At 52.1% G+C, this 12568-nt stretch overlaps 1 protein-coding gene across 5 annotated transcripts in view, besides 3 other annotated features; it reads right to left on the minus strand.

Moving 5' to 3' along the window:
• Positions 1-1913: 1913 nt before the first annotated feature.
• The window catches only part of FOXN4 (forkhead box N4), a 31307-nt gene continuing 20652 nt past the window's right edge, over positions 1914-12568 (minus strand). For 2 of the 5 annotated variants that reach the window (NM_213596.3, XM_047428311.1), the window contains 7 exons: positions 11992-12116; positions 11780-11890; positions 11333-11460; positions 10584-10680; positions 9240-9447; positions 5343-5735; positions 1914-3866 (listed from right to left, as the gene is read on the minus strand). In NM_213596.3, coding sequence (NP_998761.2) covers positions 3607-3866; positions 5343-5735; positions 9240-9447; positions 10584-10680; positions 11333-11460; positions 11780-11890; positions 11992-12116 — 1322 coding nt within the window. In that variant the 3' untranslated portion in view covers positions 1914-3606. Of the gene's footprint in view, positions 3867-5342; positions 5736-5824; positions 5876-9239; positions 9448-10583; positions 10681-11332; positions 11461-11779; positions 11894-11991; positions 12117-12568 lie in introns of those variants that run through there. The other 3 variants (XM_011537922.3, XM_017018818.2, XM_011537923.3) reach the window with 2 other exon arrangements.
• Positions 8916-9759: an enhancer, noted in NCBI's record as "H3K4me1 hESC enhancer chr12:109722785-109723628 (GRCh37/hg19 assembly coordinates)". NCBI's record gives its function as "activates a minimal SCP1, AML or CMV promoter by ChIP-STARR-seq in naive H9 embryonic stem cells {active_cell/tissue: H9 hESC(naive)}" and the evidence as "EXISTENCE:reporter gene assay evidence [ECO:0000049][PMID:30033119]".
• Positions 11601-11760: a silencer, noted in NCBI's record as "fragment chr12:109725470-109725629 (GRCh37/hg19 assembly coordinates)". NCBI's record gives its function as "represses an EF-1alpha promoter that drives an FKBP-Casp9 reporter gene in an ReSE screen in HepG2 liver carcinoma cells and K562 erythroleukemia cells {active_cell/tissue: HepG2 | K562}" and the evidence as "EXISTENCE:reporter gene assay evidence [ECO:0000049][PMID:32094911]".
• Positions 11925-12534: an enhancer, noted in NCBI's record as "H3K4me1 hESC enhancer chr12:109725794-109726403 (GRCh37/hg19 assembly coordinates)". NCBI's record gives its function as "activates a minimal SCP1, AML or CMV promoter by ChIP-STARR-seq in primed H9 embryonic stem cells {active_cell/tissue: H9 hESC(primed)}" and the evidence as "EXISTENCE:reporter gene assay evidence [ECO:0000049][PMID:30033119]".

Raw genomic sequence — 12568 nt, forward strand, 5'->3', positions numbered from 1 at the left:
TTAGCAAACATAATTCCATCTGCATCTTTTATTCCCACTTGCCTGGTAATAACATATTCGCAGGTTCCAGGGATTAGGACCAGGGAGGAAAATAAGGATAGATTGTGTCCTGGTATACATTGCAGGGAATAAGCTCCCTATACATGCTAGTGAATGCTGTTACTATTTTTGTTGCTAGAATGTGGGTGATTTCTCATAGAAGGGGAAGAAAAGCTTTAGAAACATGATCTCTGAGCCTCAGTTTCCTCATCTGGGAAATGGGAACATCCCACTGGTTGTGCAGGCTGTGGTGCGGTTCCGGGGAGATGCTGCCTGACTAGTGTTGAACTCTGTGCAGCACACGGCAGGTGCTTACATGACGGCAATTTGCGTTTTTTCTCCCATTAGTTGCTCAACCCCAGAAGGAGTCTCATTCCCCCCATGTCTCCTGTATGCTTTCTTCTGGTGTCATCATGGCCAGCTGGCACTCTGGCTGTGAGCAGAGCTCTGCCTAGAGCTTGTGACCCTGGCATTTTTGCCTGGACTCTGCACACCTGACTCCCCCTTGCCCATGGCCAGGAACAGAAGTCAGACTCAACTGTGGCTCCCAGCCCTTTCCTGGTGGTGACCCAGTGGCTGGGCTCCATTCTCCCAGCTGAGCACTCCAGGATATGGAGGGTGCCCCTGTCCCCTAGCTCCTGCAAAGTCCCTGGGGTATGCTCATTGGCTGTGAACACCATGGCCTAGGTCACTTGTTCCCCACTGCAGCCAATTTCAGAGGGTGGCTGGGGGATGCAATGCTCTTTTTGGCCAGGCTGGGTTCACAGGGTCATTTAGGAGCCAAGCCAAGAGAGGATGTTACAGGTGCTGGGCAGAGAAAGCCAGGCTGCCGCAGGCACCCTCTCCCTACCCCATGCCTGGCCTCCACCAAGCACTTCCTGACACCACCCATAGCCCATCCTCCCAGACAAACTTCCTCACTCATGAAACGTTGCATGTGCACGAATCTGGTCTCCCCTGAGGCTGCAGGCCACTTCCTGGGTGGGCCTAAGAGTTAGACTCCTGCCTGTAATCCCAGCACTTTGGGAGGCCGAGGCGGGCGCATCACGAGGTCAAGCGATCGAGACCATCCTGGCCAACAGGATGAAACCCTGTCTCTACTAAAAATACAAAAATTAGCTGGGCATGGTGGTGTTGCCTGTAGTCCCAGCTACTCGGGAGGCTGAGCCAGGAGAATCGCTTGAACCTGGGAGGCAGAGGTTGCAGTGAGGCAAGATCGCACCACTGCACTCCAGCCTGGCAACAGAGCGAGACTCCATCTCAAAAAATAAAAAAAAGTTAGACTCCTAATTAACACATCCTTTGCCTGTTATATCTTGGACAGCAAGTCACCTGCTTTATTCCCCTGAGCCTCAGTTTCTTCATCTGTGAAATGGGTGTAGTAACAAATCAGACATGCTTCCTAGGGCTGTTATGAGGACCAAATGAGCTAATTTACAGCAGTGACTAGTGCAGGGCCTGGCATATAGCAGGTGCTGGAAGGGGTGTGTCTCTTTCCATCTTGTCTTTTCTGACATGAGGTACACACCTGAGCTGTGCCACTGAGCTCCAGGACACACACTCAGCCAACCCTACCTCTCCAAGCCTCTGCTCTGAGTGGTAAATGGCGTTCACGATCCCTGCCTGAAATGATGCCTGTCAAGCAGCAGGTCTCAGGGACAGTAAATGGAGGCGGTGCTCATTGTAACCTTCATGAAAAACTTCCCCCAGCTTCTGGTGCGATGGGAACTTGGTGTCAGAATGCCTGGTTCTGAGTGGTGTCACCTCTCTGGGCCTCAATTTCCCCATCTATAAATGGGATCTCACCTGTAAGGGGTGAGTGAGTGATGTCATTATCCTTTATCTCCCTTTGACCTTCTCACGAGCCACAGAGCTGCCATTCAGCCTTTATTGATAGAAGACAGTTGCTCAATTCTACACTTACAGTCTTGATGTTGCCCAAACACGGAGTCTTTGTGAATAACAGTTTCAACATCTTATCAGGGGTCATGTTACACAAAGCAGATGAGCAGTGCAGGTCAGACGGGTAGCACTGGGATTGTGTCTAAGGGTGGTGGATACTCGGTAGAAAGTTCCAGAACTGGGAAAAACTTAAAGCTCGCCCTTCAAGGCGGGGCTTAATGCCAAAACTCCCAGGCAGCTGGCTGAGCTGTTGATTAAACAGAACATCCTGGCTCTAGGGTTCGGGAACTCCCAGACACCAAGTCAACATCCATCTGGTGGAAAGAGGGGGATGGTGCGTGAGGCTGCAGCTTCTCCAATTTTGTCTCAGCTTTGCTGGGAGAGCATTTTTCACATTTGACTAGCTCACTCCCCTGTCTCTCTTCTAACCCAGCTATCTGCGGAACTTGCCACTTGGGGAGTCAGTAATTAGCAAGGAGAGAAAAAGAAGCATAAAAACAGCTGCAGGGCAAAGGGAGGTGAGGAAGTGCCAATAAATATCATGCGTTGAAGTTTTGTCCACCACTTGCCACGTGGTTCGAGCTTTACGTGGTTCAGTTGGCTTTCATTCCATCAGGGGTGTCTTAAATCCCAGTACAAAAGCACCCCCCTCCAGTTCCTCCCTCTCCCATCGCATTTTCCCCTTTGAAAGCCCCCCAAGCCCCCAAACAATGGCACCGCCCCTCTTAGGTACATGCAAGAAGAGATGTGAATCATGAACAGGTAGAAAAATATCTGGTCTCTAATACGGAAAAAATGGGATGTTTCACAGTATCAACAGTGCTTGCTGGTTCTAAAAAGTAGCCCCAGGCTGCCAAGGGATTATGAGCCAGTTAGAGATGTCATTCTCTGGCCTGTAGGAGTTAGGATGGCTGGGAGGTAGGGAGGGAGAAGGAGTCCCATTCCAGAGGCCTCGGGATGGGTTTGCAGAAGTGGGGTGGATGGGCCACAATAAATATAAATAAATTTACACAAGGTCACGGTACCCGGCATGGCCCAGGAATCTGCGCTAATAAAATTCTAACAGACTATCGGAAAGGTGGGGCTGAAGGCCACCTGGACCGGCTCCCATTTCAGAGTTCAGCTTGTCCTGTCCAAGAGAGAGGCTCAAGCTTCTCCGGCTCCATTTCCCGCCCTGGGCCTGTCCCCCGGAGGCTGCGGCTGAGGTTTGATCCACTCAGCCATTTCCCATGAGGATGAATTCAAGGGCTTTCACCCCAGGGTGTTTCCTTAATGCACCAAGGTGTCCCAAAATGGGGTGCAGGTCACTGAGGTCACGCAGCCAGGATCCAGGATGGAGAAGTCTCACTCAACACGGGCAGGCATTGCGGCTCAGGCCTCGGAGGAGTGTCAAGGGGTCGGGGGATGCTGGGTTGCTTGTCCACCTTCCTCCATTCTTCTGACTTGGAAGAGCCCCCAGAAACTGCTCCGGAAGCTCCAGGGGGAGGCACGAGAAGGAGAGGGGCTGCTGAGGGGAACCGCTTCCCTGTCCAGCCGGCAACTTCGCCACAGGTCCAGGAGAGGCTTCGGGGACAATGAGGGACCTGCCTTCTGGGAACACCCTGTTCTAGTCAGTTCTCTGCCCAAGCCGGGTGCCGGGGTTCCAGGGCAGGTGAGGCTGACAGCTCAAAGCAGGGCTATAGGCTTGTTCCCCTGTGCACCCAGGTACTGGGAGGAGGAGCTGGTGCCCGATGCAGCCACACTGTCCGGAGTGGAGTACGCTGTGTAGAGACCCGTCACCTGCAAGTCTGGGAAGGACTGGTCGCTGCCACCCGAGGCAGGGGTTAGGCCTGAGGCCCCCAGGTCACAGCCAAGCGGGGAGTCTGCAAAGGCGCCCAGTGTGTCCAAGCTGAATCCCTCATCCTTCATCTCCTCCCACAGGTTCCCTTTCAAAGACAAAAGCATTAGGGTGAGCTGGCTTCCCATCAAATGACCTGAGTTCGAATCCCCCATCTTAGGGAAGAGGCAGAGACCATGTGTGGTGTCTAAGTCATGTGTTGTAGAAAAAGGGCATGGGGCCGGGCCTGGTGGCTCAAGCCTGTAATCCCAGCACTTTGGGAGGCCGAGGTGGGTGGATCACTTGAGGCCAGGAGTTCAACGCCAGCCTGGCCAACATGGCAAAACCCCATCTCTACTAAAAATACAAAAATTAGCCTGGGCTGGTAGCGCACACCTGTAATCCCAGCTACTTGGGAGGCTGAGGCACAAGAATCACTTGAACCCAGGAGTTGGAGGCTGCAGTGAGCAGAGATTGTGCCACTGCGCTACAGCCTGGGTGACAGAGTGAGACTCCACCTCAAAAAAAAAAAAAAAAAAAAAAAAGCATGGAAGGGCCAGAGTCGCAGCAGCCCCGGGCCCTCACCTTCCCACTGAATGTCCTTGGGAAAGTCACTTCCATCTCAGAACCTCAGAATAAGATGGAAATGATCAGTGAACCCAGCTCCTAAGGCTGTGGCACGGGTTAAACAAGAGGACTTGTGAAAAGCATTTAGTTCTCATGGTATCATTATGGTCAAAGCCAGGGGGACAAGACAATGTTTCTCTTTCTTCAGCACGTTGAACTACACAACAATCCAGGGGGAAAGAGGCAGGGAGGTGCAAATATACCCACTTCACAGCTGCAGCTGACTTGCCACTTGTCCATTTCCCTCGCTAGAGACAGAACTCAGGGCAGAGGCTGTCTCCACCCTTGGCTGGAACATAAGAGCTGCACCTGTGCTAGTGAATGGATGAAGTCTGAGCCTTCACTGAAACCTGAAATTCCCTTGTTCGTTCATTCATCACGTCCCATTTATTGGAGATGATCATGCGGCAAGGCAGCAGGTCAGAGTGTGACCTGGCATGGGGCTGGCACATGTGAGTTGAAGCAGTTACTGATGAAAACTTTGGGGTCAGACCGAGGTTTAACTCCGGACTCTGCCACTTACTAGCCAGGTGACCTTGGGTGAGTGACTTCACTTCTCTCTGCCTCAGTTTCCTCATTGGCAGAACAGGGATGTGGAATGGTGGTGACCTCAGGTGATGCCTATGGAATGCTTTGGCCCGGTATACAGCAAATGCTCATTCCCTGTTGGCTGCCATTGGCTATAACAGGTTGAACATCCCTAATCCAACCAAACATCTGAAATCTGAACTGCTCCAACGAGCATGACATTTGAGTGTCTTGTCGGAGCTCAAAAATTTTTGGATTTTGGAGCATTTTGGATTTCCGGATTAGGGATGTTCAACTTGTAAAGGTTGTTGCTATGGGAACAAGACTGTGGGGCAAATGCAGGCAGTACAGTCCTCTCCCTCACTCCCTTTGGCCCCCGGGCCTCTCCCCTCCCCATTCCATTCCCATCACTCCATTCCTCCAGCCTCACCCTGCAGAGCGAAGTCCATGATGCTCGGGTCGAGGGCATCCACCTCAGTGTTCATGTCGGTGCTGATGTTGATGAAGTCTACAGGAGCCCTTCCCATGGCGGGGTGGGGGAGCGGGCTGGGGCTGAGGTCCGGCAGGGCGTGCAGTGGCGGGGTCTGGGCTGGTGCTGGAGAGTCTGGAGCAAGATGTGCCTGGGGCTGGACCTGGTGGTGCAGGGGGACTGACTGCAGGGACAGGGTCATCAGTGGCTGGGGTGGGAGCTGGGAGACAGCCAGGCAGCCATGCGCCACGGCCACTGTGGTGGCGTGAGTCAGCACGGGGGCCTCTGGTTCCCCCGGTTTGCCGGGGCGCCGGCAGCTTTCAGGCCGGTCGGAGATCAGCTTGTCCAACTCCTCTGCAGGCAAGTGGGAGAGGTCACTCAGAACCCACCCAGCAGTTACCGGGCCCCAGCCCAGGCCTGGGTTCAAATTCCAGTGTCACCACCTGTGTGACCTTAGCAAGCCTCTTGGACACTCAGAACCTCTGTCTCCTCACCTATGAAATGACACAGGCATCATCTCATCTCACAACTTACATTGCCACCCATTGTAAATGAAGGTGTCTATTAAATACTTCTCTGCGTCCTAGCCCATGCTGGGTGTCAATATTTTATTATTTTAAACATCTCTGCCCATCTAGCAAAACATCATACCCTCTGCACACGGTTGTTGTGGAAATGTAACAAAATCACAGACTGTGCAGAATCTTTGAGGAATAAGAGACGACATCAAAGGCTGGGCTCATGCAATCCCAGTGCTTTGGGAGGCTGAAGCAGGAGGACAGCTTGAGGCCAAGAGTTCAAGATTAGCCTGAACAACATAGTGAGCTACCATCTCTACAAAAAATAAAAAATATGAGCTGGGCTTGGTGGTGTGTGCCTGTAGTACCAGCTACTTGGGAGGCTGAGGTGGGGGGATCACTTGAGCCCAGGAGGTTGAGGCTGCAGTAAGACATGATTGCACTACTGTACTCCAGCCTGGGTGATAGAGCAAGACCCTGCCTTTAAAAAAAAAATGTCATCAGATAATAACACTAGCCCCTTTCATCTTTCATCGGGACAGTGCCTTACAGGACAGCCCTGTAACCCTAGGGCTTCACTTAAATCTCATAACAGCCCTGCAAGAAGGAGGTAAGGCCGCGATTACAAATCCCATAAGACTGGGACAAAATGTATTAACATGCAAGGGGCCCTAGCCACTCCCTGCTACTAAAGAGACATTAAGAAGTGTTGCTGTGGGTTAAAAATCCTTAACACTCTTGGATATAAACAAGTAAAGACAAATTACTCTCATATTATTTTTGATTAATGGCTATGTCTTGTTGAGTGCAACACAGGGTTGATAGTAGACTGGTAGGGTCCCCAGATCTATTTGGGTTGTACCCATTTGAGAAATGAGAGCACTTAGAATGTAGAAGGCAAAATAACTTGCCCAAGACTTCACTCCGAATATGTGTCAGTACTGGCCCTGGGTCTCAAGCCAGACCCCAGAGCTCTCGGTGGGGTGGGCGCGATGTCATACCCCCTCAACTGAGGGACCATTGGCTCCTGCTATAGCCCTTCTCCCTGCCTTGAGTTGTTCATCCCCAAGCCACACTGCTAGCCCCATTCCTACACCGCATGGTGATACCCAACAGACTCTGGCCATACTCCGAAGGCTGGGGCACAATTAGCCTCCACGTCACAGTCCCCATGCATATGTCCCTTGGATGGCCCCTCCTCAAATCCATTAATTTTTTTTTTAAAAGCAGATGCAATCCTTTTTCTAATTAGGAACAGGATAGAAGTTTTGGAAAATACAGAAATATGTGAAAAATATAAAAGTTATCAATGGTCTCTCCATTCACAGTAAAGATTTTGGTGTATTTCTTCCCAAACACACAAGCATATTTATTCTCATTCTCTCACTCGCTCTCTCTCAGATACATACATTTTTGGGAGGGAAGTGAATATGGATATATATGTATTTTAAAATATGATCTTGCTGTGGATATTGATTATAACCTGCCCCTTTTCACTTATTGTTTGAGAACTTTTTTTTTTTTTTTTTTGAGATGGAGTCTTGCTCTGTCACCCAGGCTGGAGTACAGTGGCTTGATCTCGGGTCACTGCAACCTCCGCCTCCTGGGTTCAAGTGATTCTCCTGCCTCAGCCTCCTAAGTAGCTGGGATTACAGGCACCTGCCACCATGCCTGGCTAATTTTTGTATTTTTAGTAGAGATGGGGTTTCACCATGTTGGCCAGGCTGGTCTTGAACTCCTGACCTCAGGTGATCCACCCGCCTTGGCCTCCCAAAGTGCTGGGATTATGGGCATGAGCCACCGCACCCGGCCTAACATTTATTTATGTTCCAAAAATATTTTAAAATATTTCTCATTTCTAATACTTGCATGGTATGCCATTCTATTTATTTAACCAACCCCTATTGTGAGATGTCTGGACTGCTTTCTGTGTTTCACTCTTAGAAATAATTTTGTGATGGATAACTTTGTTCACAAACCTTCTGCTCAAATCTTTGCTCTTCACAGTACACATCATCAGAAGTAGAATAATTGGACCAATCCATGGGTACCATTTGCAGGTGTTTGATATATTAGCTTTCCCTCAAAAAGTTTAACAGCTTAAATTCCTATCCATTATATACGAAGCTCTCTATTGTTCCACATCCTAGCCCACACTGAGTGTTACTATTTTAAACATCTCTGACAATGTGGTAGGAAAGCAATGTGTAACCCATGGTTGTGTAGTTTGGCATTTCTGGGCAAGAAACTATGGATGACAAGTGAGATCCAACAGCTTTTCCTGTTTTTGATCAGGCCCCTCTACTACTCCTGCCACTGGATAGGGTTGGGGAGGGGGAGGCCTATTTCATAGGAGGGAGGGAGGTTTGCCAGACGCCTGTCTTCCCATCATCCTGGCTGAGAAGTGTTGGAGACTGGGTAGGGCATAGGCAGAGCTGGGGCTGGGCTGGGAGGAGGGGCGCGTGGTGTGTGTGTGCATGCATATGTGTGCGTGCATGTGTGCGTGTGCGCACACACTAGGGGCTGCCCGGGCCTCTTGGCCATGCTCTGGTGGATGGTGGCCAGGTCCTTCCTCTTCCACTTGTGTGTGCGCACGTGTGTGTGCGTGCGTGTGTGTGTGCGCGCTGTGGGCTGTCCGGGCCTCACCAGAGTTGGCCATGCTCTAGTAGATGGTGGCTAGGTCCTTCCTCTTCCACGTGTGTGTGCGCACATGTGTGTGTGTGCATCCAGGCCTCACCGGGGTTGGCTACGCTCCGGTGGATGGCGGCCAGGTCCTTCCTCTTCTGTGTGTGTGTGTTTGTGCATTTGTGTGCATTTGTGTGTGTGCGCACATGCTGTGGGCTATCTGGGCCTCACTGGGGTTGGCCATGCTCCAGTGGATGCCAGCCAGGTCCTTCCTCTTCTGCGTGTGTGTGTGCACGCATGTGTGTATTGGTCTGTGTGTGCATTTGTGTGTGTGTGCGTGCTGCAAGCTGTCTGGGCCTCACCGGGATTGGCCATGCTCCAGTGGATGGCAGCCAGGTCCTTCCTCTTCTGCGTGTGTGCGTGCATTTGTGTGCACAGGTGTGTGAGTGCATTTGTGTGTGTGCGCGCATGTGTGCATCTGGGCCTCACTGGGGTTGCCCATGCTCCGGTGGATGGCAGCCAGGTCCTTCCTCTTCTGTGTGCGTGTGCGTGTATTTGTGTGTGTGCGCATATTTGTGTGTGTGCGCGTGCGTATGCATCGGCTTCACCAGGGTTGGCCATGCTCTGGTGGATGTCGGCCAGGTCCTTCCTCTTCCGTGTGTGTGTGTGTGTGTGTGTGTGTGTGTGCGCGCACTGCGGGCTGTCCGGCCCTCACCAGGGTTGGCCATACTCCGGTGGATGGCAGCCAGGTCCTTCCTCTTCCACTTGTGCATCTCCTCCTCCATCTTGTCGATGCGGGCCAGGTTCAGAGCCCACAGGCAGCCCTTGCGGGAGGAGCCGCTCATCTTGTTCTCCACCTTCTCGAAGCACTTGTTCAGAGACAGGTTGTGCCGCACCGAGTTCTTCCACCCGTCGGGGGCCGTCTATGAAGACACATGGGCATTCAGAGGCCTCCCTGTAAGCCCTTCCCCCTACCCCGGGGATCTCCTACTCAGGCCTATAGGGGCAGGACACCGCGGTGGCAGGAGTAATTTGACAGTGCCTGACACTCAGCCTCAAGTTGGAGAGACAAGAGAGAGTGCTGGGGACTGAGGCCAACTGGTGTGGCCATGCCCTGATGAGAGGGGAACTACAGTTCAGCTCTGGCCAACTGTTACTATAGGAGGATGCAGCCTGGCCTGCTGGATCTTCCATATTCTCTCTCCCATTCAGGAAGCAAGCAAGGAAGAATGATGCCAATAAATGGATAACTGATCGAGTGTATTCAATGCAAATTTACTTTTTTTTTTTTTTTTGTGACAGGGTCTTGTTCCATCACCCAGGCTGGAGTACAGTGGTATGATCACGGCTCACTGCAACCTCAACCTCCTGGGATCAAACAGTCTTCCCACCTCAGCCCCCCAAGTAGCTGGGACTACAGTCGTGCACCACCAGCAAATTATTTTTAAATGCTAGATAACCAGATATCACAATGCATCTCACACCACATGTGTACATGTGTGCACACACACTGTACTGCAGTATTTTTGCTAAGGACACTGTCCAATCCAGGGACCCCACAGCTTGGTGTACCCTCTAACTTCCTGCTCCACTTTTTGCTTTGATGCTAACAAGGATAACACTACTAGTGGCCAACCCTATGCTGGAAGCTGCCAGGCCCTTTATCTGCAGGATCCTCACTGACCCTGCCAGCTTGGGATGATTCTCCACCCCTGACAGATGAGGATACTGAGGCTCAGAGGTGAAGGCTTTTGCCAATTCTGTTGTTTTGCATCATTATGTTGTACTGAATCTGTGCTGAGTACCTAGTCTGGTGCCTCTACCCTTTTCTCCTTGGGATGCCTAATGAACTCCTCTTCATCTGTCAGAGCCCAGTTCAAATGCCCCCCTCTCTTTCTGACTTTCTTCTGTGTGAGTGTGTGTGCACATGTCCTAACCACCAGATGTACAGACATAACTGGGAACCAAAGAGGGTTGGCCCAGGGCCAGCCCTGGATTCTGGCAGCACCAGGAAGAGACCAGGGCAGCTCCAGCACCCCTACCCTAGCTTGGGACTCACCTTGAAGTAGGGGAAGTGCTCCTTCATGAAGCTGTAGATCTCGCTCACAGGCAGGCTGCCTGTCTTGCTGTTCTTCAGGGCCATGGCGATCAGACAGCTGGGGGCAGGAGGTGGGGCAGGGCAGGGCAGGGCAGGACAGGGCAGGCCAGGCATGAAAGGGTCTCAGGCTGACAGCCCAATGCCGCCTCTGCCAGGAAGCCTGCCCTGCTTGACCCTAAACACTCACACACAGTGAGCTCTCAATATCTTTTCATGGCCCGATGTCTTTCCCACCCTTTGCCCTTTCTCCTTGATCTGGGCACAACAATTGGTACTGACTTGAGAAATCTTACCCTTTCCCCTCTTTATTGCATCCCCATAATTTTAATGGCTATGAGCCTTCAGACTTTACCTAGGTTGTTTCCCCCTCCCCAAACTCCCACGAGGTATACAATACTATTATTTTGATGACTTTTTACATTTGGGGAAATCGAGGCTCAGAGAGGTCATCCCACTTCCCCAAGGCCACGTGGCTTATGAATGAAGTGAACTGTGGCACTGGACTCAGGTCTGCAGTGGGCTCTTGACCTGGGGGACCCTATGATGCGCCTTCCTGAGAACAAGTCCCACCTGGGGGTTCCCCACTCCCCAAAACCTCCCCCTTGGAAGTCTGGGCTGCCACACTAGCTGTCTGAGATGCCCTGAGGGCAGCCTCATCCCTCTCTCCCGGAGCCGCCCTTGGCCCTGACCCGGCCCACCCTGGACCTCACCTGTACGAGTAGATGGGCTTGGGGTAGTGTTTGGGGTGCAGTTCTTGAGATGAATGCACAGCCACGTGGGGCTGGGGGTAGGGGGGCCGCACCCCAAATGGGGGGCCATAGAGGCCCACAGGAGGGCACTTCCCACAGGCAGGGGCAGGGAGAAAGTGGCAGAGAAAGAGAGAAGGTGAGAAATAACATACGTCACTCACAGTAACACTGTCCCCACCCCAGTTTCAAAACACCTTGTGTGGGGATTCACAACCGTCCAGGAAACAATCTTGTCTCCACTCAGGGCAGGAGTTTTGGGGGAACGGAATGAATGACCCCATGACATGAGCATGGAGGGAATGTTATCCCCATGTGCTGGGTGAGTAAACTGAGGCTCAGAGGGGTCCCCGGCCAGCCCAAGGCAGGGTGTCTGCTGCTCAGTCCAGGGCTCCCCTGAGCCCTTGGTACCTGCTGGGCACCCGGGGGGAGCGGGAACTGTGGTTGGGTGGCAGGTGAGTACAGATGCGGCGGGTCCTGCAGGCCAGATGAGGGCTGGCCCCCCACGGGGAACTGGCTCATCTGCTGGGCAGGAAGAGGAGGAGACAGAGGGTCACGGTGGGGGTAGACACCCAGTCTGGAGGGCACTACCCGCCCTCCGCAGTCCATGCAGTGCCACTTACGCTGTCTCTGTGGCCAGTTATGGGGCCCAGACCTGGCATGCCTCGGGGGGCCATGCCTGCTGGGCCATGGAGAAGGGGACTTGGAGTGGCTCCCACATGCAGGTCGGCCACCCCAGCCAAGGCACCTGCCGGAGAGAAGCACAGAGACGCTGCTGGGCTGGAGGAATGGTGGCTGCCACCAGGAACAGCCCAGTGCCCAGGTGTCTCCGGAGAACGGAGCCAGCCCCTTTCCTCGGACCAGGCACATAGTAGGTGCTTGGCAAATCACTTCCCTGGTGTGTAGTGAAAAGTAGGTTCTTACCAGCTGTATAACCTTAGGTCAGCCTCAGTTTTCCCATTTGTACTTGATCTACTGATACCCCTAACTATAAATCTGCTGTGAGGGTTAAATGAGATAATGTCTATCAAGTGCTTAGCACACTGCTGGGCACATGATAATATCTCAATAAACATGAGTCAATAATAAATGATAATTGATTATGTCCTTCATGAAGCTAAAACACCAATTCACGGTTCATTTCTTTTCCTCAAAAACATGCCATGGCTCCCGAGTGCCTCTAGGTTTAGGTCCAAAGTA

This window comes from Homo sapiens, chromosome 12 (assembly GCF_000001405.40).
Source record: "Homo sapiens chromosome 12, GRCh38.p14 Primary Assembly".
NCBI classification, from domain to species: domain Eukaryota; kingdom Metazoa; phylum Chordata; class Mammalia; order Primates; family Hominidae; genus Homo; species Homo sapiens.